The sequence below is a fragment of the Homo sapiens genome, chromosome 4 (genome assembly GCF_000001405.40).
Source record: "Homo sapiens chromosome 4, GRCh38.p14 Primary Assembly".
Classification (NCBI taxonomy): Eukaryota; Metazoa; Chordata; class Mammalia; order Primates; family Hominidae; genus Homo; species Homo sapiens.
The window spans coordinates 69,198,212-69,225,600 of NC_000004.12; the positions used below are offsets into that span (position 1 = coordinate 69,198,212).

Consider the following 27,389-nt stretch of genomic DNA (forward strand, 5'->3'; position numbering starts at 1 on the left):
GTTGTGGGAAGTCAGGGACCCTGAATGGAGGGACTGGCTGGAGCTGTGGCAGAGGAACATAAATTGTGAAGATTTCATTTTAATATGGACCTTTGTCAGTTCCCAAATAATACTTTTCTAATTTCTTATGCCTGTCTTACTTTAATCTCTTAATCCTGTTATCTTCATAACCTGAGGATGTATGTCACCTCAGGATCACTGTGATAATTGTGTTAACTGTACAAATTGCTTGTAAAACATGTGTGTTTGAACAATATGAAATCAGTGCACCTTGAAAAAGAACAGAATAACAGCAATTTTGAGGGAACAAGGGAAAACAACCGTAAGGTCTGACTCCCTGTGGGATCACACAAAAACAGCCGTATTTTCCTGCTTTCAGAGAGCCTATAAATGGACTTGCAAGTAGGGAAGATATCGCTAAATTCTTAGCCTAGCAAGAAATATTAATATTAGTACTCTGGGAAAGGAATGCATTCCTGGGGGGAGGTCTAAAACCAGCCACTCTGGGAATGTCTGTCTTATGTGGTTGAGATAAGGACTGAGGTATGCCCTGGTCTCCTGCAGTACCCTCAGGCTTATTAGGGTGGGGAAAATCTCCACCCTGGTAAATTTGTGGTCAGACCAGTTCTCTGCTCTCGAACCCTGTTTTCTGTTGTTTAAGATGTTTATCAATACATGCACCACTGAATATAGACCCTTATCAGTAGTTCTGCTTTGCCTTTTGTCCTGTTCCCTCAGAAGCATGTGATCTTTGTTCTGCCTTTTGCCCTTTGAAGCATGTGATCTTTGTACCTACTCCCTGTTCTTACACCCCCTCACCCCACCTTTTGAAACCCTTAATAGAAAACTTGCTAGTTTGAGGCTATGCTGGGCATCACGGTCCTAACAATAGGTGATGTCACCCCCGGTAGCCCAGCTGTAAAATTCCTCTCTTTATACTCTTTCTCTATTTCTCAGCTGGCCAACACTTATGGAAAATGGAAAGAACCTACATTGAAATATTGAACATGGGTTCCCCTGATACACACACACACACACACACACATATATATATACACATGCATATACATACTACGTATATATATACACCATGGAATACTACTAAGCTGTAAAAAGAAACAAACTAATGGCATTAACAGCAACTTGCATGAAGTGGGAGAGCATTATTCTAAGTGAAGAAATTCAGGAATAGAAAACTGAACATCATCAATTGTCACTTCTAAGTCAGATCTAAGCTATTAGGATGCAAAGGCATAAGGATGATGTAATGGGATCTAAGGATTCAGATGGGAGGCCGGGAGGGGGTGAGAGATACAAGACTATACATTCAGTGCAAGGTACACTTCTCACATGATATGTGCAACAAAACCTCAGAAATTACCACTAAAAAACGTACGCATCTAATCAAACACCACCTGTTCCCAAATAACTATTGAAGTAATTAAAAATATCAGAATAAAATCAACCAGACAAATATTTTTACATATCTGGAAAAAATAGAATTTGCTCATGAAACCAAAGATGTGGCAAAACAGTTCAATTTTACAGTAGGAAGCAGGTAAGAGTGGCTATATTTCTAATTCCACATAATTTCCACTGAGAAATGACATGAGCTCTTAAAACAGTAAACATTTGGCCATCAATTTTAGCAAAAAATGTGACAATGAAGCTGCATGCAGTGTAAAAGTAAAGGAATACTACTTATCTCAAAATATCAAAAGGAAGAGAGAGACTTTATATACAATTTAACTATGTAATAGTTTCTTTAGCAACAGTTAAAACAACAGAATCCTGTTCAAAATGAAGCCAAATTATTCTGAGGATGTGACTACTGATACTGTCAGTAGACTTCTTAATGTTCTTGTGTTTATGTAAAATGTGTGAAATATAGTTAAGCTGAGTAAATTTTTTCATGTAACTTGTGAATTCAAACAACAAATCTCAATATAAGTGCAACAAATTTCAATATGAGCTCAAATGGCTTTATATTATTTTTTAATTTTCCTAGTATTTTCTTCATTGCCACAAAATATTTCTAACCATTACCTGGGTGGTAAATCTCTGAAAAACAAATTTTTACTTGACAAGGTAGATTTGAAAATTTTTTTTTTTTTTTTTTTTTTGTCACAGGAAGAAAGAAATCTTGCATAACAATCTTTTCTTTCTTGCTGGAATAAACTGAAGTTGTCCTATCTATCTGGTTTTCCAGCTTCAAATGTCAGACATAACTAATCTCTTTTTCCCTTCTTCCCTTTTCTAGCAAACTTCCAGAAACAAAACAGACAAAACTTTGTGATGATAAATATCACAGTTGCCACACAGGCCAGCAGAAACCCAATCACATCCAAAGAGTGGTACTGGAACCAGGTGAGGTCATGGGCTGCAACTCGAAGGTGTTTGGCTCCTTTGTGGGGCATGACAAATTCAATCCAGAAGACTGCTCGATCCAGGGGCTTTACTGGTTGATCATGTTGAATTCTTGATAATTTCATAATATTCTCTTTATATCTGAAGGATAAAAATAAGGATACCAACACTGAAAGTAAGTTAATTTGCCTGTACATATCAAGTCTATGAAAGGCTTTTAAAGCATCAAATAATTCAAAATAAATGTCAAAGAATTGACAGAGAATTTGTGTATTTTAATTTGAGTTATCATAGATAGTTTGGCTTTTAAATTGGACTTTTCTCATTGACAAACATTTTTAAAGCAGAAATGGAAGGTCAGGTGAGAAAGTTAATTTTTTTCAAGCAGAGAAAATATAAGGCATTTTAACTGGCTTTTAATTGTTTAATGTTAAGTTTTTGTGGGTCCATATTAAGTGTATATATTTATAGGGTACATGAGATGTTTTGATACAATGTGAAATAATCACATCATGAAAAATGGGATATTCATCCTTTAAGCATTTATTCTTTGTATTATGAAAAATCCAATTACATTCTTAGTTCTCAAACAGGCATATGAGTACATGCTCAGCATCATGAGCCATTTTAAGTGCTGTAAGAAAGACTATGAAAATGCGATGTGAGAATTATCATCTGTAAGTTCCTAAAAAGGAATTTTATCAAGGTGAGTGACATACCTCATAGCTCGTCACTTTTCTTCTACATTACTCTTTTGTCTCCTACTGTTTCCCACCCTGTAGCCAGAATGATTTTTTGAAATTAATGTCAGACTATGGCACTCTTCTGATTAAGATTTTTGGCTGGCTTCTCATTCTTTTAATCATAAAATTCAACTCTGTTATTTGGTCTACAGAACCCTACATCGTAAGACACTGGCAAGCTTTTTTCTAACACTTTTCCTCTGCACACTGTCTTCTAGATTGGCCTTCTAATTTTCTTTAAGCTTCCAAAGGTGTTCTCATCTTAGAACTTTACACGTTTTGACCCTTCTCTCCTGCTCTTGGAGTATTCTTTCTTGCTACAACCCAAGGCATGTGTCTGTCCCTTTTTGTGGCTCTAAGTGTTACCTCTAAGAGAGGCTTTTACTGGACAATGATGGAGCCTCCAGGATTTTCTCTATTTTCTGTCCTTATTTTCTATTTGATTCCTAGAATTTTGTAAATGATTTATATATCTCATAAAATATACATTTAAATATAAAACACAAAAGATAAATATACATACACTAAGTGAATAGTTCAAAAATGGAAGATCATCTTGAACATTATCTTGAGATGAAGATACCAATTTACCTACTGTTCAGGTCCTGGTATAAGCTATCACAACCTGCCTACAATAATTCTCTTTTTCTGAACCTTTTAGTGACTACTTTTGTCCTCCAACTAAGGATTAGCCTGACTTCGAATAACAACATTAGTTTTGCTTGTTTATGTAATTGAATTACATAATACGTACTCAAAAGTGTCTTTTTCTTTAATGTAGCAGTTCTTGGGTAATTCCATTACTATGTAGCATTCCATTGATTGATAAACCACAGATTATGTCTTCATTTTATGATGAATAGATATTTGGGTTGCTAACAATTTTTGGACACTGTTGATAATTCTGTCACGAACACTCTGCTATACAGCATGAGATTTATATATTTATGTATATCTGTTGTGTATATAATTGAGAGTAGAATTGCTGAGATAAAAGTGCATGCAAACTTATGATTTACTTCTTGACTGTAAATTTTTTTGAAGTGTATTTTGTTAATTTCCAAAATTTAAAGATATTTTAGTAATAGTATTTTTAACCTCCTTTATTTCCAATATGGCTGGATCATATAGTCTTCATGATATTGAATCTTTTATATTTCGTAAGTCTTGATTTATTGCCCACCACACATCACTTCAAGGAAAGATTAAATATTTGACGTACTCTAGGAAAATGTGTCTTCAAGTTGATATATACAATACATACATGTGTATTGTATATGTATATATGTGTGTATGTCATTTTAGATTGTAAGACTCCATTTGTTAATTGTGTTCTTCAAATGTTTTATGTCCTTACTCATTATTTGCTCCTTTATTAAAAGTCTGTTTAGATTGAGTGAAAGTATTTGTATAATCACATTTAAATCTACCACATTGTTTTATGTTTCTTTTCTATTTGTCCAAGGTGGTTTGTGTTTCTTTTCAATTATTTCCCATCTTCTTTAAAGGTACATTGATCATTCGTTATCCTTCCATTTTCTTTGGGATAAAGTATTTTTAAAGTATTCCTTTAGATGATACCCTCCTTACACAAAAACTTTATTGAGAGTAGTTATAAATGCTGAATTGATGGTAGCTGGACTCCGCAGGTAATTTTTCACATTGTTATCTTTGGGGAGTGAACAAAATCAATTATTAAAAATTTAACTTAAAATTATATTTTTTGTGCTTCAAAGACCATCATCAAAAAGTAAAAAGTTAGTGCACCAAGATTGGGACAAAATATTTAAAAAGTATATATCTGATTTGTCCCATAATATATAAATAGTTCTTAAAACTTAATAATAAGACAAATAGAAAAGTTAAAAATGTTCCAAGCATTGGAATAGACATGTTTTCTAAGAAGATATATGAATGGTCAACAATCACATATAAAGATTCTCAACATCTTCAGCAGTAATGAAAATGCAATCCAAGACCAGGATGAGAGATCATTTTAAACCCTCTAAGAAGGTTGTAACAAAAAGAAAATAAGAGGTCTGGCAACAATGTGGAGGAATTGGAACCATGTTGTACTGCTGATGGTAGTGATGAATGCAACAAGTACTTTGGAAAACAGTTTAGCAGTTCTCCATAAACATACAGTTCTCACATGAGGCAGCAATTCCACTTATAGTATCAACTCAAAAGAAAGTAAAACATATTTATGCAAAAACAAGTATAGCAATATTCCTAGTAGCCACAATTGGAAACAATCAAAAGGCCAATGAACTGACAAATGAACAACTAAATTATGACATATCCATACTATAAAATATTACACAAGTGGAAAGGAAATGAAGTATTATAACACACAACAATATGAAGTAAAATAAAAACCATAAGAAAACAACAAAAAATTAGGCTATGTGAAATGTCATTTACACAGCACCTGAGACTGTATGATTCCATTTATATGAAATATCTAGAGAGAATAACTTATAGAGAAAGAAAACAAATTGGTGTTAGACTAGGACTAAGCAGTTATGAGAAGTGATTTTGGTGTCATTGCAGTTTCTTTTGTGTTGATAAAAATGTTCTAAAATTATATATATAATGGTGATACTTTAATGACTGTAAACATAGTAAAAATATTTGGATTTTATGGCATAAATAGGTGGATTTTAAGCTATCGAAATTAAATCTCATTTTCAAGTCTGTTAAAATAATGATGATAAAAATTAATTTTTCAGCAAGAAAATAGTTATATTCTGAGTCATTTTAGATATTTAATTAAAACATTTTATTATATTATTTCAAGTTTATTCTTCCTTTCTTCTATGGATTCATGTTAAAATTTTAAGAAATGTATTTTTTATATTATCTATATCATTTTAAAATTATTTTTGTTTAGAAAATTGCTTCACTAACTGGTTACTCATTAGATGTATGGGATTCAAACACAATTTTTAAATAATAGATGATAAAAACAAAGCAGATTTCAGATTGGTTATATCATTTAAATTCTTTCAAGATTACTCTCTTATAAAAAGGATGAAACTCATGCTCACTATTGACAAGAGAAGCTGTCCACAAATACCACCTAGTGAAAAACATTGTTCTACTCACAAAGGATCATTAATTACTGTCTTCAGTGCATTCAGCAGGTCTGTACTCGACATTGTGTTGAAGTCCAATCTAACAGCTGCTCCCTTGGCCTTCATGTGAGCAATGTTATCAGGTTGATCAAAAAACAATGGAATGCCCACCATAGGGATCCCATGGTAGATTGCCTCATAGATGCCATTGGCTCCACCATGAGTTATAAAAGCTCTGGTTTTTGGATGACCTAGGATTGGATGAATTTTAGCAAAATTATTCATAGGAATAAAATGAGATGCACAATGAAAGGTTCTGAAAGTGACAGTGTTTTCTAGATAACACATTGAACTAATTTGCTATTACTTTTCAGACTTCAGATGAAAAAGCACGTACTTGTTTAGGAGATGTAACTGAAAGCTATGTGGTGTGTGTGACTTCAGACTGCAAAACTTAATACAAGATTTTCAGTTGGACTAATGAAAAGTGCATTCTAGATTTTTTAAATGTGCACAAAAGAGGACAGCAAAGAGATGGGCATGAAATAAAGTTTTATTTTAACTACAGTCACAGAGTGTGATATGCGGGGTATGCAAGGCAGCAGGCAGTGGGTTGGTGGTGGTGCTAGGATTGAGGAAAGACAGGTCACACTTCATCATGAAATGTGTCGTTACTTTAAGATTAAGATTAGGAATTTAGTCCTCCAGAAAATACAGAGTTACTGGTGATAGAAGAGCTATTATATTTACTGGCATTTGAAATAATCCTGCAGGAGAGGAGAAAACAGGTGTAAAATTGTAGAAACAGGAGACAGAGAGACAGCCCAGGAAGATATTGAAAAATTCTGTGAGATATAATAGCACCTGAAATAAAGATTATCTCTGATTCTGACCATAAAGAATGTGATTATATATCATAAAATGCCAACAATTCTACCATATTCTTTTCCCCTAGGACTGGAAAATAAATACAAAGAAGTTCTTTTTTGTTTTCCTATAACAAATATTCAATAAGCATGTTTCATTAACCCTCTAATGTGCAGTTACTAATATATCCAGTATTTGTTCACCAGAGTGTTACCTAGAAGGTCATTCTGGGGTATCCACTTGTACAGCCGAGTATTGAGACCTAAGGCATCTGGTTTATTCCCGTCAAATCTCCACAGAACCTGTTACAGTAAAGAGAATATCTTATTCCATGAGTGGAACTCAAAAATTATAGAATGTTAGAACTGTAGAAAGCATAGGAATGAGATCAAGGGATGTTAGTAAATAAATCTACTCAAAGATTGATGTAAAAAGAATACTCACATTTTATTTTCTTAACTTTTATAATGATTTAGATATATAAGAAACCATGATTTTCCAAAACAGTACCATAGAAAAATAAGACTATCAATGAAAAGTTCAAATATTCAAAAAATTGTTACACTTTTTAAAAGAAGACCTACCTGCAGTCAACCATCATATGAAGAAAAATAACATCACAGATCATTAGAGAAATTCAAATCAAAACCATAATGAGATAGCATCTCACACCAATCAGAATGGCCATTATTAAAAATTCAAAAAATATCATGATGTTGGCGAGGTTGTATAGAAAAGGAATGCTTATACTCTGTTGGTTGGAATGTAAGTTAGTTCAACCATTGTGGAAGACAGTGTGGCCATTCCTCAGAAACCTAGAGGCAAAAATACCATGAAACCCAGCAATCCCATTACTGGGTATATAAGCAAAGGACTATAACTGGTTCTTTTATGAAGATCCATGAAAATATATGTTAGTTGCAGTACTATTCACAATAGCAAGGACATGCAGTCAACCTAAATGACCATCAATTATGGAATGAATAAAGAAAATATGGCATATATACACTACGGAATATTATGCAGCCATAAAAAAAACAAAAATATGTATTTTGCAGGGATAAGGATGGAGCTGGAGGCCGTTAGCCTTAGGAAACTAACATAGGAATTGAAATCCAAATGTGACATGTCCTCACTTATGAGTGGAAGCTAAAAGATGAGAACACGTGGACACATAGATGGCAACAACATACACTGAGATGTATTGGAGGGTGGAGGGTGGGAGGAAAGAGAGGATCAGGAAAAATAATAAACGAATATTAGTCTTAATACCTGAGTGATGACACAATCAGTACAACAAACCCCCATGACACAAGTTTACCTATGTAAAAAACCTGCACATGTACTCCTGAACTTAAAAGTTAAAAATAAAAGTTAAATTAATTTAATTTAAAAAATAAAAATATTACAAAAAAAGTGTAAAAAATTATATGGAGTGATTGTAATTCTAGTGTAATAAAACAGTTACTATTTAGTAATGACCTGTATGTTTGTTTTATGTATTTTATATTAGTTTTCATCTCCAAATTTAATTGTAATGTATTCGTTTATTTTTGAATAATATGAGAAGTAGTTTAAATGTATCTACTTGTCGGTAGGTTATTATATTGGAGCCTGTTGTCCTTTGATTGACAAAATAGCAAGTCTATAAAATAAGCTACTTATAAGAACTAAATAAATGCTGCCAAGATTTTATGTATAACTTCATTGGAATTACAAATTATCAAGCACTATTTCCCAGAAAAATTTCAAGCGACAATTTTTGACACAAATTCAGAATATTACCATTATTGTTAATTTTGGATTTTTTTTTGGCCTAGAAATGAGGAACCTTTTGGTATCATGAATAAAAATAAAGCTAATGAATAAACTCAAAATTGTACTTTGCTAAATTTGGTCAACTGATTATTAACACTTAGATAACGTGCTACAAATCTTTGTCAACAGTGATTAATATGTTCTGCTATAGCCAAGACATTCTTATTTTAAGTTACTAATTTTGAAACTCCAAAGCAATCCTCACAAACTGAACAATAATTTGCAGTGTTTAACTTTTATTTGCTACATCAGTGTTAAAGTAACTCAGGTTTCAGCAAAAAGTTAGAGGTCATTACAAGAAAGCTTTATCAGATAGGAAATTAAAAAGTCATTCACAAATACACAAAGGTCCCTGGTTTACTCTATACAGAAGAAAATATATTCCTACTATGTTCTATGGAGGGGACATCTGAACCTGTTCCCCTGCCTCTCTTCCTTCTGTTTGACTCCTTCCTATATTTCCTTCTGCTGCCTCCATTGGGAGGAGTTGTTAATCTGGTAGTTAGTGCTGAGTCCTTGTGGGACCATATTTTATACTGTACAGGATCCACCTTCAGGTCAGGATCCATCTCCATCCTTTCTCTTTCATCTTCCTGCTTCAGGCAGTGTTCTCTATTTGTTGTCACATATTTCACATAAGCATTTGACTTAAAGTACAAACAGAAATAGTACATTCCTTAATTGTAAACATTCACCAAGAGCTTCCAGAGTACGGTAAGTAATAGAGGTGGCCCAAGAGTAAGTGAAATCTTCTTCACTCATTGGATACTGCTGAGATTAGCAAAACAGCTTTGAAGAAAATGATCATAAGTCTTCCTTGTATTTCTACAAAGATGCAGTTCTGGATATATATTTTTAGTTGAAAACACTTGAAAGTCATTCTAAAGACTACATTAGGCACCATTTTCACTTACCTGAAATATATTCAGTTAATTTCAGCAGTATGTATGACTCTTAATATCAGAAATTAAAAATAACCATGAGTCTCAAGTTCCCTGTTGTGGATACCTACGGAGTACTGAGTTCCCACTGATACTAATAGGAGCCACTCATGAATACCAAGGGTAGTAACTCCCCCAGGGCCACATGTAACCACTAAGTCTGAGGCACAACTATTACTTGTGTTGGTGGAAGCAACATAAGCATATTTAAGGATGTATTTGGATGTAAAGAGTTCACTCTACTCTTAATATTCTTTCTATGTAGATCACAAACATTAACAGCCTCTTTCAGCAGTTTTCCACACCAGTAAGGCCCTTTATCTTACCTTTTGTGGGATCTTGGCAAGGGCTGTTGCAATTACATTGGCCCTTTCTGCTGTCATGTTACTTATCACTGACCCCAGAGAAAACACCACAACACCATTTTCTCCAGAGCTCTGTACAAACTCCTCCATTTCCTGTGAAAAAAAAATTGTTTCATCACAAAAGAGTATCACCACAGCAGGCACTACTGAAAGAATTGGTACCAAATATTAAAGAGAGAAAATCAAGTATTTTGAGGAATTATTGGAATTAATAATATTTTTTAACTGAATCATTCAGTTTCTTTGCAAGAAGATGTTTGAGATAGTTGGCCTCTGTTAAGGATATTTGTGTAAATATGTGTGTATATGTATGTATGTGTCTGCATGTGTGTAATGGAGGAAAGAAATGGAGCTATTACATTGTAGTCAGGGAGATAATGTTAAAAAATATACCCAGACCCTTCACTTATAATACTATAATTACTAATATAAGTTCTTGGAATAGTGGCACCACTCGGCTTTAATCCTATGTTTTTGTTCTACTAAATCACTTGTGTTTATTTCAGGCATGTTTTCTGTAGAATTCTTTTAGTTTGAAGCCATTAGTGGTCTACTTCCCTAAATATGAGCACTGAGGAAAAGATATTCACAGTTGGGATAATTTTATATCTACATTTATGTTCCTCTACAATGCTTTATGCTTCACTTAAAGTTTGTCAGAGTTTTCCAGTAGTTTTTCAAAAAATAAAAAATGAAAATAAAAGCTGGTGGTTAAGAATCACTGACATTCCTGAGTCTAGTATTGTGATTTGGAATTTTTATGAATCAGTCTTGGGAGTCTCATTTATCATATGGAATTGTAGAGTTTATAGTTAGTTGTTGAATAATTGTACCTTTTGGGTTTTTGTTTAGGTGGAGCACCTATTGCCCTGAAATCACACTGTTAAATTGATGTGCTATTTCTAACTGCATGTGAGGAACTCTCATCATCACTTTGTTGTGTCTCAGAGGCAGCACTGGCACCAGAATAGGAGAGGCCACCAGGCCTTTCTTCAGGAGAGATCTTGTCTCTCTTTTGAGTAGCTCACACACACCACATTACACTGCTGGTGAAGATGTGCTTGGCTGCCATTGATTGAGAATTATTCTGACTTGAGTTCCCCAATGTATACCAATATTTAAATTTAAGTATTTTCAGATTTAATCATTGGGGTAAAACTTTTCCAAATGGTTTTTAACAAAACAAAGAAAAAAACGTCTAAATGTAAACAGTGCATCACATATGGCAGAGTGTTTTCTTAAAATATGATTTTTAATCTTACATTAACGTGAGAGTCCTTGTACTACTATTCCACGTAATACCTGGGGCTTCTAGGTGTTGCGTGTGATTGCAGTTACCTGTAGCCACATTTAATGTAACTCGTTTTCAGTGTTTCATCTCACTGGCTTGATATCAGAGCCTTGTTTTTCTACTAGGTGTTGAAGGAATCTAATCTCTGTTTAGAGATTCATCACTGATATTGACTGGTTGTTTCTCCTTTTGTGATAATATTATAAAAATAATACAAAATTAATGTAAGAAATTGTATAAAAGTATGAAAAGTTTTTTAAAAAATAATTTTTCTAAAATTTCTACCTAGAGATATTATTTATAGAAAATATGTATTTTTTATTATGGATTTTGTCCTATTTATATAGGTCAATGTATACATGTGACACTTATTTAGAAAATTTTAATCTTATTGTATATACATTTTATCCTGCGAAAACTTCCATCTTGTTATATTTATCATTTTCCAACTCACTTTATTTGTACTATGGCTGATGGTGTAATTGAACATTTCATTGATAAAATTATTTTAATGCTATTGTATGCACATACATTTTAATCATTCTTTCATATAAGATGTTGGATTACTTGTAATGTTAATTTTGTGAATATTTTCCATAAGGTTTAATAGGTGCACCTTGATTTTTTTATGATTTCACGTGAATATATTATAAAATTAATAACTACGCATTTTTAAAACACTTGATGCAGTTTGTCAAGTGTCTTATTCTCTTAAAATATATAGAAATTATCTGAGAATGTAATATATAATTGAAAAGAATGCAACCTGGGTTAGCAATTATTTTACATAATAAACAGTTAAATAGCTGGTTTCACAACCGTTGACTTGCATTCAAAGCTTTCTGCAAGTTAATAACAAGACCTAGTATTAGTAATTACCACTATTGTACTACTAGTCAACCTTTTTTCTTGTCCTTTTACACCTCCTACTCTCTTCCTCCTCCAATTTGCACTGTCAGTTTCCCTTAATGTGAATGGGGAAATCTTTCAAGAGTAATGTAGAGTGACATAGATTTTTCATTAGTCTTACTTCAGCTTTTCTCTCTTGAGAAAGTGACTATATAAAGCCCATACAATTTGCATTAAACAGAGATACTGAGTTTTAACAATGGAATAAAATTTCAGTTTTATGTAAGCAAAAACGTTCTTTTAAGAGGTTGCATAATAATGCATTGAAGAATGCTTACTTTGTACATATGTCTTAAAATGTGATATTAATTTAAAATATGTGAGGTTCTTGTGTTCCTTCAAAAAGAATATAATCTTATATGCTGACAGAAGTTTCTTCATATTGAAACTAAGGGCACTATTCAGATACAAGTGGTAGAAATTATTTCGTCTTTATTATGCATGCATTGTTCACTATCTCTGTGCTTCTCTGTCAGGCACCTATGATGTTGAGACAAGTTCATCCAGAAAGCTTTACTGATTTGCTTGTCATAAGGCAGACATCATCTGCTCTAATAGGTATGTTTATGCTCTAAAATGTAAAATTCTGGGATCTCAATGCAGAAATGATTTTAAATACTTTGTTAAAGTCAAGTGAACCCTGGGTTTGTCTGCACATATTTGAGGTACACATTTATATTGTTGAGGAAGAGTTTTAAGCTGGAATACTGGTGAAGATCCTTGTTACTTATGGTAGAATTTTAGAATTTCAACTAGCTCATCTTACTGTCACAATTGGTATGTATAATTTTAATCAAGTCCACAGGGTATCTGTCATCTATGACTTTGCAAGAGAATATAACCTTGATGTGCTGAATAATCTGGTTCTCTTAAATGAGGAATGATATCTCAAGTGACTTGCACATGTTAAGTAGTTAGTAGTATTAGTAATAATCACAAAATAACCATAATTACAAAATTAATAACATTTCTGAGTCACTGACTATATGCCAGAGACATTTTAAGTGTTTTGTCTGTTTTAATATTTTTTCCACACAACACAATATGAAGTTGGCACTATTTCTGTAAATGTGGGCCTAATGATTTCTATCAACATTCTAGTCCACTTTTCCATCATCTGTTACCTGAATCCATGGAAAGTTTCCTGAATGGTTAGCTCTTTACAGTGTGGCCCTTCTGTAATTTAATCCATTGAATATCTTGGAGGCTTTTCTTAAAAAAGAGAATCGTTTCATATATATTTATTTCTTAACTCTTTTTAGTAGTTTTTCAATACTCTTAAGAAATATTTCCACTACTAATATGTATCCGGCTCTAATTTACCTCTTAGTATCATCTCATTCTTAGTCATTCCCTGAAAACAAAACCTGAGGACTTGAGAACTGTCCTGACCACTTTATCTGCTTTCCCTTTTTGTCTGCCCCTCCCCTTCATTCTTTTACCTATTCCTGCATATTTTTTAGCCCTCATCTTACTAATCAGTAACTCCAGGATACTTTCTATTATCTCCACTGATGCTTTTTTGACATTGGGTTTTTCCTTGAGATAATAGTTTTTTATAACATTTTCATTAATTACTTTTCTATATATCAAAGTAGAATGTAAGGTATGTGGGGACGGAAACTGTGTCTATTTTTTTTCTCTGAAATTTCTGCACTTACTTGTGTTTTGTGCTAATCCTTTTATAAGTATTATTTGAATGAATGACCAATACCTTCTTAGGTGTTGCATAATCAACATTTTACTTTAATCAACCCTACATTCAAAGTCTCCTTACTATTCCTCTCTATTTGTAATATGCATAAAACTCACATACGTGTGACGGTATTAACATATACATGAGTTTCTAATTAGTATCTGCTTTACACCACCTACTTCCCATCTTTCTTTCAGTGTAAGTCAAACATTTTGAATGAAAACTATAGACTCATTTCTACTGAAACTTCGAAGCCAACAAAATAAAACCAACAAAAGTATGTTTACCTTAGGTAGGGGTTTGGCAGGTTTGCAGTGGAATCCTCCAACAAAATCAACGTTTGGTAAGAATGGATGAGGAAATTGAAAACTCCAGGAGTTTCGCATAAGCCATATGTCAGCTTTTCCCATTGTCTCAAATAAGGTAGTGGGTCTTCCTGACAGGAATAAAGAAAAGAAAAAGTGGATGATGTAAGATAATTACTTTACATACCTTTCTGAAAAAGGTTAGAACAATGTAAGCAAAGATGTAGGTAAAGTTTATGTGCTTTGAAAAATATATAAATATATATGAATAATATATTATTATGTATTATATATTTTGTCCATGTTTATTTATAAGAAAGGCAAAGTGGTGGGAGAATTATGAGGTTAAGCGACATCTCTAATGTCAAGTCAGTATACTCACAATTATTAAAATAAGTCATAGATAATTAAACATCAATTTATTTTCTCTTTAAAGCTTCAATAGTTGCATATAGATATTTAAACAACTCTTTGAGCTCCATAATCAATTAATTCTACTGTACCCATAAAACCAATTTTCTAACAGTCCAGTTTACACAACTCATTAAGCTAATCCTTTTATCTTTGGTTCAAGTGAACTCTGTACTATTTTGAGTGTATGGCAGAAATCCTGGTACCAACTATTCATTTGGATTTGAGCTAAGATCTTAATAATATTATCATTTAAGTAAATATATTTGTAAATTATAGCTAGAAATTTTGAGAAATTATTGAAATAGAGAACTGTACTCAACCTTAATCTGTCTCATATTTTTAAATAAAGAGACATGGTTTCAATAAACTATATAGATATAACAACCTTCACACTTCAACAAGATAATTGGACTTCAAATGCATGATTTCCAATTCTTTAGTTAGGGAGTATAGAAATATTAGAAACTTCAAATCACCCTTATTGACTTTTGCATCTGAGATGTAGACATTATCTCTCTCTACTGTGAAGGAAACCTTCTGGAAACATGGGAATATCTTTCAATATCTAAATAAGAAAACTGAGATTTACAAGGAAAACTTTCTGCAGTTACATAGATAGTTGTAGAAAAATGTGTAATTACTCATTCTATATCTATGCATTCAGTAAGATGTTACTTGATGGATTTTACTGTTTTTAAGATCTAAAACATTATATAGTAAAACAGATGTGTAATTGCTTAAATTCTTAGGTGTACTAATATATAGGTTTATGATTTCCTGGGGTGTTCTGTTTGAGTGATGGCCACAGGGTTTTAACAGACCTTATAATTTAAGCTTTTCTATAATGTTTGTGAGATTGATAGATCATCTTGTATTTTCATTTCATAAATTCACTTACCAAAAACTCCACTTCCCTGACTTTATGGCTTTATAAAAGCTCTGCTTCAAAGACACAAATAAGTTAGATCTTCACGTTACCGATTAAACAAATTCTTACCTAAAACTTCACTGTAAAACTGATCCCACTTCTTCATATCAGACATTTGGAACCAAAAGTCAAAATAAAGCACATAGATCATATTTTTTACCCTCTCCATGAAAGTCATTTGATCACTTAATTTTGACATAACAATAGGTATGTAGGAAGGAGGGAAAATCAGTCCTCCACTGTGCCTTTCAATTGTGTAGCCAGGAGTAAAGCGGAGACTGTACACAAACCGTATGTTAAGTAGCGCAGCCAGCAGCTCACCACAGGGAAAAACAGCATCTGCAAAAACGATGTCAAATCTTGACTCTTGTAGTTTTTTCATAACTTTCTTATTTGAAACTACATCTTTACAGAAGTTTCTAAATATGTCATATAATTCCCACAGGATTTCTTGTTCTTGTGAAAAATATAACCAAAAGCTATCTTTTCGAATGTCTGACCATCTCTTAACCTGTTGCATGATGATATTCTCAAATTCAGTTTTAGTTAAAGATGTAGGATAAACTTCAAATTTAAGAGTGGATGCATCATTGGGATCAAAAAGAATGGAAGCTGAAGATGCCAGTACAGTCACCTCATGACCTCTCTGAACAAGCTCTTTCAGGATTGTCTTCATATTCATCCAATGGCTGTATTCTGCGGCCCACACCAGCACTTTTCCACAACTCCCAGAGCTAAAGTAACAACTGAGATGTATCAGCAGAAGAACTGAAGTCCATTTCAGAGTCATCCTGGTGCAATGCGATCATTCTTTTCCAGTCACTGTTTCTTTCTCATACTTATATACAGAGATAAATCAATCAAGTTAAAATATAACTCCTCCAATCCAAAGTAAATATATTATAGGAGCATCCTGAGTACATGGATGGCAAGGAGACAAACAAAGTTCGATTACTTCATATTTACTCAAGGATGTTTTATGTTTCTTTTATGTTTATATTCACTGTCATCCACCTAAGATTAATGACCTTGCAAGTACCCTGTTTTATGTAACCTACTTTATAATAGTGTCAAGAACAGTGGCAAGTGAGAGAGTCCTGCAGAGCCCTTGACACAGAATAAGAGATGAAATGATTGTACAATGCAAACAGCATTTTTGAATATCGTGGTTCAATGAATATCTTGTAAATCTTTGTTGGAGTATAATTCAAATACCATATGATTCATCAATTAGTATTTAAAATTAAGTATTTCCTAGTAAATTCACAGACTTGTGCATCCAACGTAACAATCAGTTTTATCTAAAAAAACAAAAAACTCCTGTGTATTAGTTCTCATCTCCCCACCAAATTTCTGCATCCACCCTGCACTAGGCAACCAGTAATCTAATTTCTGCCTCTAGAAACACACCTATTCAGGATCTTTTTAAAAGTAAACGGAACAATATAGTATGTGGTCTTTTGTGGCTGGCTTCTTTTATTTAGTTTAATGTTTTTAAAGGACCATCCGTAGAATAGTGTAAATAAGGACTTCATTTTTATTGCCAAATTGTATCAGATGCTATTTATAAACACAATTTATTTATTCATTTATAAGTTGATAGATATTGATTTTCTTCCACTTTTGGCCATTATGAATAGCATTGATTAACATTGATGTGCATGAATTCTGTGGACATGTTTTTATTTTTCTTGGGGATATGCCTAGAAAGGCAATTACTGAATTATGTGGTAAATGTAAATATAACCTTTTGAGGAATTGCTAGACTTTTTCAGAGTGAGTGAATAATTTTCTATTCTCACCAACAATGTATGAGGGTTTCAATGTCTCCACAACCTTGCCCACCCTTGTCTTTCACATAACCAAAAAAGTTATTTTTTATTTTAATTTATAAACACACTCCAACAGACCCAAAAAAGGAAGGTTTCCTTCCACATATTGGAGGGAAAAGTGAATAAATTAAATAATAACTTACCTAATACTTCACTGTAAAACTAATCTCACTTCTTTTTGTTAAAAATCTCAAATGCAAAGTCAAAATGAAGAAAATGCAACAGATTTTTCACCTTTCTACAAATGTGTTTTGGTACTAAGTTCTGATATGACAACAGTTACATCAGAAGGAGGTAATGTAAGTCCTCCACAGAGTTCTTGGTACATACTGCCAGTTGTAAATGGATGATAGTAGACCAAATGTATAACAAATGTTTAACAGACTAAGCTGTTCAGATAACAGCTCACTACTGAGAACTGACATCTGCAAGAATGACATAAATTCTGGAATCTTGTTGTTCCTCATAATTTTCTTGTTCAAAACAGCATACTCAATGAGCTTTTGAACAGTATCAGAACATTCATGATATGTAGTTTTTGCATCTTTGAATCATATGCCAACAATGTACTCTTTGGAAACTTATATGTCCACATCTTGATCAATTTCATAAATATGAAATCAAGTTCCTTCTGAGTAAAAGATGTGGGATAAACCTCAAATTTAACAGCAGATTGTTGGAATCAATGAGGATGGAAGCTGAAGGTGACAAGCACAGTTACCTCATGGTGTTCTGAGCAAGTTCATCAAGTATCAACATTAAATTGATACAAAGACTGTATTTCATCGGCCACACCAGCACATTCTCGCAGGATTCAGGGCTAAAATACAACTGTCAGCATAAGAAACAAAAAAGCCCATTTCTTAGACAACTTGTTAAAATGCTATCTTTCTTTATAACTTTCTCTAACTTGGTACATATCAATATCAATCAATGTCACAATGATTTAAGTATTGACAATAGAGGTTTTGGAAAGCAAGTGAATAAAGAAAAGGATGAATGATTTTGTGTTTGCATGTGTGAATAATAAATTTCATTCTTATTGTAAATATGGCTGTCTCCAGAACAAGAGATAATTTAATTGTATATGAAGAGTTTCTAGTATAAGAAAGCAGCATTGTGTCAACAATGAGGCAGGGGTGTGATCTATTCTTATTTATCTTAACATTCTCAAATAGACCGTCTTCATTTTCTCTATGTATTTTCACAATTATGATATTAGCATCATTTCATGTTTCCTGACATTATTTTTCTGACCATAGAAATTCATTTTCTTTTTATCCAAACAGATATGTTTTAAGTACAATTACAGTTACTTTGCTTCATTTGCAAATATTTTGTCTAAATTACAATATTTTATTTTTCTGAATATTTGCAGCATTCCTTATGTTTCTCACTCTTAGAAAGTATTTATCTTCTAAATGCCTACTCCTGAACTTGTTTCACAGATTGTCTTGTAATTCAGGTAATTTGTACTTTTAAAAAGTCTCACCAGAAATTTACATCAAAGTAGAATTAGGAAGGAAAAGATGCATGTCACAAAACAGACAAATTTGTTTTTATTCTATTAATAATCTGTTAACCTGAAATGAGATAAGTCTTTCTCAAAAGGATGTTGGAACACAGTTTCTGAGCAAATATTGCCTGCAGAGTGGCAATATTGTTCAATATTTTTAATGTCCTTGAGTGCATGCATTATGTGTCACCCAGATTTTCCCTTTGGGAATATACAAATTACTTTCCAGCTGATGAAGTGATTAACAACTGACATACCTCACCTATAAGCTCTCTGTCTCAGAACAGCACTGCTGAAAGCTATCTAGTATAAAGTGACCTTTCCAAGACAGCCCATATCCAATGCCTGGTCATATGTAAGATTTTGAAGGCCAATTCTCCTCATTTCAATGTGGACCAACTCTGAAGGGCTAACTTAGCTTCAAACTCCCAGTGGGTGAGATGAAACCTATGCTGAGACTGCATGTCTCAGCATGCTCAGGGTGCTATATAGAAAAATACCATACATTGCCTAGCATATAGACAAAAAAAATTTATTTGCCACAGTTCTTGAGGCTGAAATTTTCACAATCAAGATGCTGGTATTGGGCATTCCTCCAAGATGGCAGCCCGTCACCATGTCTTAATGGGGAAAAGAGATGAATGAGTTCTTGTGAGCAAATTTTGGAATGGAATTAATTCCACTAATGAGGACTCTGCCTTCGTGACCTAAACACCTCCTAAAAGGTTCTGTCTGCTAATACAGTCATTTTGGTTATAAGAATTTTAACATATTAATCTTTGGAGCACTCAAACATTCAAACCATTGAATTGAATTATATCCTAATTTGTTCCATAGTCCAATCTTGCTTCCTACTTTTTCACAGGTGTTATTTTCAATAAAACTCCCAAATTATCTTCCTCAAAAGCATATTCAGCTTAGAGTCTACTTCTTGGAGCCACCCAGCATTTGATAATATGTACCAAGAGAGGTCAGAAAAAAAGAACAGACAACAAAATGAGATTTTAGAGTTGGATCATTCACTACCAGTTGTAAGGAGAATCCTATCACTATTGGTAGGGAGAACACAAATAGACCCTGGAATGTGATAATTTAAATTTTTCATACTTTCAGTAATGGCAAATTATGATGGTAATCTTTTGAAAGGGAAAGTGTTACTTATTAGGATATATCACAAATGTATCAATATGGGAAAAGTAGAAATTATGACCACAATAGAGGCAAATGTTTTTTTCTTCAGAGTTAATGCTTGGGATAAAATAATAGAAGAGTGAGGACTAATAACCATCAAATTAAGGCAAACTATGAAAGCCAGAAAAGTCTCCTTGGAAGTGTTCCCAGATAAAGGGGCCTTGATTCAGACACCGAGAGAAGGTTCTCGGATTCCACACAGGAAGGAATTCAAGGTGAGTCACAGAGTGCAGTGAGAAAAGATAGTTCATTGAAAGCTATGACATTACAGAGTAGGGCATCCTCTGAAGGGAAAGAGTTGAATGCAACACCTTTGTTTCAAGTTTTTCTTATATAGGAGTTGTCTCTGTAAAGGACCTATTCACAAAAGTCCCTGGATTTTGTCTGCAGCTCCATCTCTGTGCAATTTCTGGGAGACCCCTCTGCCAGTCCACATGTCCTTGAAGGTATGGAGCCCCATCTAGCCAGAATTCCAGATGTCTATAGTGAGAGGGAGCTGTCTACTATTCCTTTGACTCACCTTTCCCTAGAAACCGCTCAGGGTAGAGAACCAGCTGTAGTATTCAGGCACCCCATTCAGCGTCCTCAGCCTTCTTTCTCTTCAGCCTCAGTGACTACTTCTTTCCTCCATCCACACTCAGTATTTTCTCTCCAAAGATCTGTTCAAATTATGTTGGTATGAAAAAAAAAACCTGGTGTTCCCCTGGTGGCAGTGGCACTTCCTGACTGCATCTAGTTGATCATCTTGAGCACATTCCTGTGTATATATTCTTTTGAGAATTCTTTCTTGATGTCCCTGCCCCATTTTTTAATGGAGTTGTTTGTGTATGTTTTATTAATTTGTTTAAGTTCCTTATAGATTTTTGATATTAGGCCTTTATCAGATGCATAGTTTACAATTATATTCGCCCGTTCTGTAAGTCATCTGTTTATTCTGTTGATAGTTACTTTTGTTGCACAGGGGCTTTTTAGTTCAGTTATGTTCTCTTCTATTGATTTTGTTCTAGGGTTTTATAGTTTATGATACTGTACTAGCGTTTTCTCATGCTGTTACTAAAGACATACCCGAGACTGGGTAATTTAAAAGGAAAGAGGTTTAGTAGATTCACAGTTACACATGGCTTGGGAGGCCTCGCAATGATGAGAAAAGGCAAATGAGAAGCAATGTTATGTAATACATGGAGGCAGGCAAGAAGACTTGTGTAGGGAAACTCTCCTTTATAAAACTATAAGATCTCAAGACACTTATTCACTATCATGGGAATAGCATGGGAAAAATGCGCTACAATGATTCAATTACCTCTCACCAAGTTCCTCCCACAACAGCTGGGAATTATAGGAGCTACAATTCCAGATGAAATTTCGGTGAGGGAACAGCCAAATCATATCATTCTTCCCTTGGCCCCTTCCAAATATCAGGTCCTCACATTTCAAAACCAATCCTGCAGTTCCCCAAAGTCTTAACTAATTTCAGCATTAACTCAAAAGTCCACAGTCCAGAGTCTCATCTGAGATAAGGCAAGTCCTTTTTGCCTATGAGCCTAAAAAACAAAAGCAAGTTAGTTACTTTCTAGATACAATGAAGAAACAGGCATTGGATAAATACACTCCTTCTAAATGGCAGAAATTGGCCAAGACAAAGGGGCTACAGGCTCCATGCAAGTCCGAAATCCAGGTAAGGCAATAAAATCCAGGGGACAGTCATTGCCAAAATGATCTTCTTTGACTCCATGCCTCAAATACAGGTCACACTGATATAAGCGGTGGGATTCCATGGTCTTCGGCAGTTCAACCCTTTAGTTTTGCAGGGTACAGGTCTCCTCTTGGCTGCTTTCATGGGCTGGCATTGAATGTCTGTGGTTTTTCCAGTTGCATGGTCTAAACTGTTTGTGGATGTATCATACTGTGGTCTGGAGGACGGTGGCCCACTTCTCACGGCTCCACTGGGTAGTGCTCTGGTGGTGACTCTCTGTGTGGGTGTGTTGGGGGTGGGGGGGCTCACACTACACATTTTGCACTCACACTGTGCTAACAGAGTTTCTTCATGATTGTCTCAACCATGTGTAAGACTATTTGTAGCTTGATGGCCTCGATCCTGAAGAAAACAAATTTGACAAGGAGGTTAAAAATGCAAGGCCCAAAAGCGAGTAATAGTAGGATGGCTGTCACAGGCCTACAAAAGGGAGGAGCCAAGGTATCCATTGGTTAAACATATTTCAGGGACCTAAGTGTTCAAGCTCCTTTTTTCTACTTTCTATTCATTCTCTTATTTCTTTGACCTTTTCAGTAATGATTCCTGACTGGTTAATGAAATGGCAACATTCTTCTCCTAAGAAGAGGCAGGTTCCTCCTCTTTCAACTGTTAATAAGTCTAGGGCTCTCCGATTTTGAAGGACTACCACAGTTAGAGAATTAAGCTGGCTTTGTAGGGTCACTAGAGAGTCGGTAGCTAATTCCATGTCATCATTTAATTCTCGTGATAATTTATAACAGAATTGTGTGGAGGAGGTTATGCCTCCAATTCCAGTCCCAAGCCTGCCTAGTATTCTGGCTCCTACAATAAAAGGGACAATAAGGGTTCGCGTGTGGCAAGATTGGGGTATAAGGAGACTTTGTAACTCTTGTTCAGTATATATGGACATGGGAGGTGCTAGAAAGGAGAGAAAGCACAGTTCTTTCGGAGTGCCATTTAGGCATGATAGGCTGTGATATCACAGATGAAAAAAATGCCTTAAGGTAGACAGGTGAAACCTGAGGTCTTGCACTAGTCTCCACTGACTATTTGGTTTTTGTATTCCTAGAATTGGGGTGTTCCAAGGACTGGTACATATTTTTACTAAACCTTGAGCTTTTAAATTTCTAACAATATCCTGTAATCCTTTGAGAGCTTCAGGCCTTTAGGGATATTGCCTTTGATAAGGAAAAATGGTGGGGCCTTTTAGCTTGATTTGGACTGGATGAGCATTCTTTGCCCTTCCAAATTGTCCTTCTAAGGCCCAGACCTCGAAGTTGATTTCTTCTTCAAGTAGGGGACAACAAATGGGTAATTTGTTCCCCATATTCATGTAGATAATGGCCCCAGCTTTGGCTAATATGTCCCTCCCTAATAAGGGTGTGGGACTTTCAGGCATTACAAGAAAGGCATGTGAAAGAGCAAAGTCTCCCAATTGCAGCTGAGGAGACGAGAGAAATACCTGGTTACAGGCTGTCCTAAGATTCCTCGGATAGAAACAGACTTTGAGGACAGTCATCTGGGGCAAGAGGTTAAAACTGAGAAGGCCACACCAGTGTCCAGGAGGAAGTCCACTTCCTGGCCCTCAATGGTCAAACTTACCTGGGGCTCTGTGAGGGTGACGGCATGAGCTGGCGCTTGCCCCAGGCACACTCAGTCCTGTTGCTGAATCATCTGGGTGGGTGCTTCTGGTCCAGAGGTCCTTCATCCTCTGGGGCAGTGCACCAATTGCACATGGGTGAGGGGGTGGTTTGTTTTTTGTTGAACACTCTTTCTTAAAGTGTCCTTGCAAACCGCACTGATAACAAGTCCTACTAGGCAATTGGCCTCTCCTCTCTTGATTCCCTCTGAGCCACCAAGGTCTGCCTGTCTGAGGGCCATGACTAAGGCTGCAGCCTTTCTCTTATCTCACTTTTCCCTTTTGGCCTGTTCCTCTTGGTCCCTGTTATAGAACACTGAGGTTGCCAGGTTTAATAATATCTCTAAATTTGTTCTGGGCCTAAGGCAGAGTTTTGGAGTTTTCTCCTAATGTCAGCCACTGATTGGGTGATAAGTTTATCCTTTAAAATAAGTTGGCCTTCAACGGAATCTGGAGTTAAGGAGCTGTGCTTTCTTAGGGCCTTCCTTAGCCTTTCTAGAAAAGCAGAGGGGTTTTCCTCCTTTCCCTTTGTAATTGTGGATAGCATTGAGTAGTTCACAGGCTTTTTCCTGGTCTTCCTCAACCCATCTAAAATGCAAGTTTGCAAATGCCAGCGGCCCCAGTCTCCATGATCTGAGTAAGTATCCCAATGAGGGTCTACACTGAGGACTGCCTGTTGCCCTGTGGGGAATTTTTGCCACTCCTCCAGGGTCATTCAATCATTTAGCTGGCTAAAGTACCATAGATCCCCAAATTACCAGGCTGCTGCTAAAGCTGCTTCTTTTTCAGTAGGACTTAAGGTCTGATCAAGAAGCAACTGATAACTGTCCATGTGAGATCAAAGGACTGCCCCAATTCTTGCAGGACATCTATACAGTCATCAGGATCATCTGAGAATTTCCCTAAATTTGCCTTTATCTGTTTCAAATCTTGAGAGTGAGAAGGGGGCATGCACATGAATGGGCCCAAATTCTCCTCCTACTGCTTATAAGGGACATAGTTTGGGTGCCTTATAAGCACCCAAGTTTAAGTTCTCTTTCCGATGCACCTTTAACACTTCAGTGGGGCTGGATGGAGGAGAGTCAGTGCAGGAGGAGAGTAGGGCTGAGGGAAAAGGCCCTGAGTATGGAGGCAATTGTGGCCCTCTGTCCTTTGGGCAAAGCTTGCAGGCTTGGCACAGGTCAGTACTGTCACGAAGGGCAAAGAAAGCTTGTACATAAGGGACATCACTCCATTTATCTTCCTGTTTACAGAAAAGATCTAGTTGTAGAAATGTGTTATAATTAATACTTCCCTCAGGGGACCACGTTTCTCCATTTTGTAAGGAATACTGTGGCCAGGCAGTGGTACAGAAGACAATCAGCCACTTCTTTTTTAAGGTTTCAGGGTTGAATTTGTCTCAGTTATTCAGGATATATCTTAAGGGAGTGTCCGGTTTGGTGCCCATCTGGAATTTTAAACACAGGGATGCCCGCACCGCTGGTTATTCCTGGGACTCATCTTCTCTTAGGGCGTCCCCCACAGGTCAGGCCCAGATGTGCTCAAAGCTCATGGCCACTTTTCCTGAGCCCTCCATCTACTGGATTTAACCATGCTTACCGGCAGGATGGAAACTTCCGTTGTCCCTGCTGTGCACCCACTGACCACTAAATGGAGCACAAGGACTGTTGGATTTATTGTGGTCCTTCTGCCAATGCATCCTACCTGTTCCAGGGTGGCAAGGCCTGGGACTGAGGCACCACTGATGCCTGCATGCTAAGGCCCAATTTACGTGGGCCTGGCCATAAAATTGTCCTTCAAGGAGAAATCTCTGAATTAGCAACAGGAGGCTTATTAAGCTTAAAGGGGGTGGTGGATGTTCTCTAGGCCAGGGCTGAGAGAACAGCTGCTGTACTCTAGGCTTCTGTCCCCACTTCCCATCAAAGGAGTAAGCCCCTCTCTTACGGTGGTCCAGTAATCTGTGTCCCAACTGACTATATTTTCTTCCTTCCAATACCAACTATTGAATGGTTCAAATAGCAATTCAATGGCTCTAAGAGCTGTACCCATGCACCACAGATTGTACTTGAGAGGTCCCAACAAGGGGGAAAGTCTATCTGGGGAGCAATGGAGGAAATGCCCTAAGGCTTCTACTATCCATATGATAATTACAGACCTATCTTTAAATTGTCTTGATGTGGGGAACCATACACTATGGTGGGGAACTGGCCCTTCAAAATGGCCATGGAACGGAAACACATGCCTGATCCTCGGAGGGCACCATGAACAGGGATCTTCCGGGCACCATCCCAAGAATTTAAGACTTTTAAATAGAGAATCTTCATCCTGCCTAGTGGGAATAACCTTGCTTGCGAGATGAGGAAAGAAGTCTGGCCGGCGGACATTAGGACCCAGGAGGAAGGGGTCAGAAGATGTGGTGGTCTCACACTCAGTAACCCTTGCAGGGAGAGCCTTTGGAGGGGCCATGGTCTCAACCAGGAAATCTGGGTGACTAGAATGTCTGCTGATAACTCCCAGGTGTACTTCCGGACCACCATGAAAAGTGAAAGAGTATGAACCGGATCCAGACTTACCAACATTCCCAGACCCAGAGGGTCAGGGTTGTTAGAGAGCCTTTTTCCAGAGAGCCTGACACCGGTGTCTTTAGTCTCATGGCCGCGCTAATCACCTTTAAGTGGCCCAGAGGTGCCCGGTTTAGCCTCTGAATTCTAAGGAAGGACAGGACAGAATTGCAAGCCAAAGAGGTCTGATCATACTCACCACGTGACGATGTAAATGCCTTTCCTGGAGATCCTCCTGGCTGGTTCACCAAAAATGTAATGCCAAAGGTTCTTGCCTTAGCCACGCCAAAGATTTGGTGTGGCAGCAGCCCTTGGTGAGGGTGAGAGAGAGACACGGATCAACCGAGAGAAAAAAAAAAAAAGCTGTAGGCTTTATCGAGCAGAGTGATGGTACAAAGCTTCCACAGCGTGGAAGGGGTCCCAAGCGGGTAGCTAGTGTTAGATTTTTCGCTCACCTTTTAAACTCTTTAAGGCGGGAAATACATGTGTGGGAAGATGTTACCAGAGCCAGAAACAAAGACAATTAACATGTCTTAGATCTTGAGGAAAACCAGAATTGTAACTTAAGTTTTATCTACTTTATAACCTGGCAGCACCATGGCAAAGGAGTCAGAATCTCACAAGATTTTACAAATTGTGTTTACAAGGAAGTGGAATTGGGAGCACAGACAAGGGCCGCTGGTCATAGAAAAACTGGCTTTTAACATTCCTTTTAGTTTCAGGGGAGGGGGAAGGGAGAGAGGGAGCAAAGACACAGGGAAGCTTACAGCTAAAGTTTCTCTGTGTATAGCTTCGTTGGGGAAGAAAACACATGCACAAATTCTGATGTTAGGAATATTTTAAGCATATATCTTCAATATGATTCATCCAGGACCAAAGTAAGTTCTAATGCAGGAAATGAGTGAGTTTCACAGTTTTCGGAGCCCCTACTTGACCCAGGAAACCGAGCTGGAACCTCCTCTCATTTGTACATACATTTTTTCTTCTGAAACTTTGCTGAAGTTGTTTTTCAGAAGTAGGAGCTTTTGGACAGAGGCTTTGGGGTTTTGTGTGTATAAAATAATACCATCTGAGAAGACAGATAGTTTGTCTTTCCCTCTTTCTATTTGGATGCCTTTTATTTTTCTCTCTTGCTCTGGCTAGGACTTCCAATACCCTACTGAATAGCAATGGTTAGAATGGACATCATTGCCTTGT

The 27,389-nt window shown here is 36.0% G+C and overlaps 1 protein-coding gene, 1 long non-coding RNA gene and 1 pseudogene across 5 annotated transcripts in view; 1 reads left to right on the top strand and 2 right to left on the bottom strand.

Annotated features, from left to right (window-relative positions):
* LOC105377267 (uncharacterized) overlaps nucleotides 1-18,556 on the top strand; it is a 34,668-nt gene extending 16,112 nt beyond the window's left edge. Inside the window, exons 3-6 of the long non-coding RNA NR_136191.1 lie at nucleotides 2,261-2,367; nucleotides 2,961-3,073; nucleotides 12,855-12,936; nucleotides 16,262-18,556. This is a non-coding gene — a long non-coding RNA (uncharacterized LOC105377267). The remainder of the gene's footprint in view (nucleotides 1-2,260; nucleotides 2,368-2,960; nucleotides 3,074-12,854; nucleotides 12,937-16,261) is intronic.
* Nucleotides 1,740-26,773, bottom strand: UGT2B11 (UDP glucuronosyltransferase family 2 member B11). Of its 4 annotated transcripts, XM_017007660.3 has the most exons (7): nucleotides 26,648-26,773; nucleotides 26,392-26,502; nucleotides 14,362-14,510; nucleotides 10,140-10,271; nucleotides 7,269-7,356; nucleotides 6,219-6,438; nucleotides 1,740-2,508 (listed from the first exon to the last, which is right to left on the bottom strand). In XM_017007660.3, the coding sequence occupies exons 3-7, from the start codon at nucleotides 14,482-14,484 to the stop codon at nucleotides 2,229-2,231; spliced, it is 843 nt and encodes a 280-aa protein (XP_016863149.1). In that variant the 5' UTR covers nucleotides 14,485-14,510; nucleotides 26,392-26,502; nucleotides 26,648-26,773; the 3' UTR covers nucleotides 1,740-2,228. The 4 variants fall into 4 exon arrangements, with proteins under 4 accessions (XP_016863149.1, XP_047305499.1, XP_011529852.1 ...); XM_047449543.1 differs by lacking the exon at nucleotides 26,648-26,773 and having other exon boundaries at nucleotides 26,392-26,503; XM_011531550.3 differs by lacking the exons at nucleotides 26,392-26,502; nucleotides 26,648-26,773 and adding an exon at nucleotides 16,043-16,537.
* LOC100422021 (UDP glucuronosyltransferase family 2 member B4 pseudogene) lies at nucleotides 17,387-18,318 on the bottom strand (annotated as a pseudogene).
* Nucleotides 26,774-27,389: the final 616 nt, after the last annotated feature.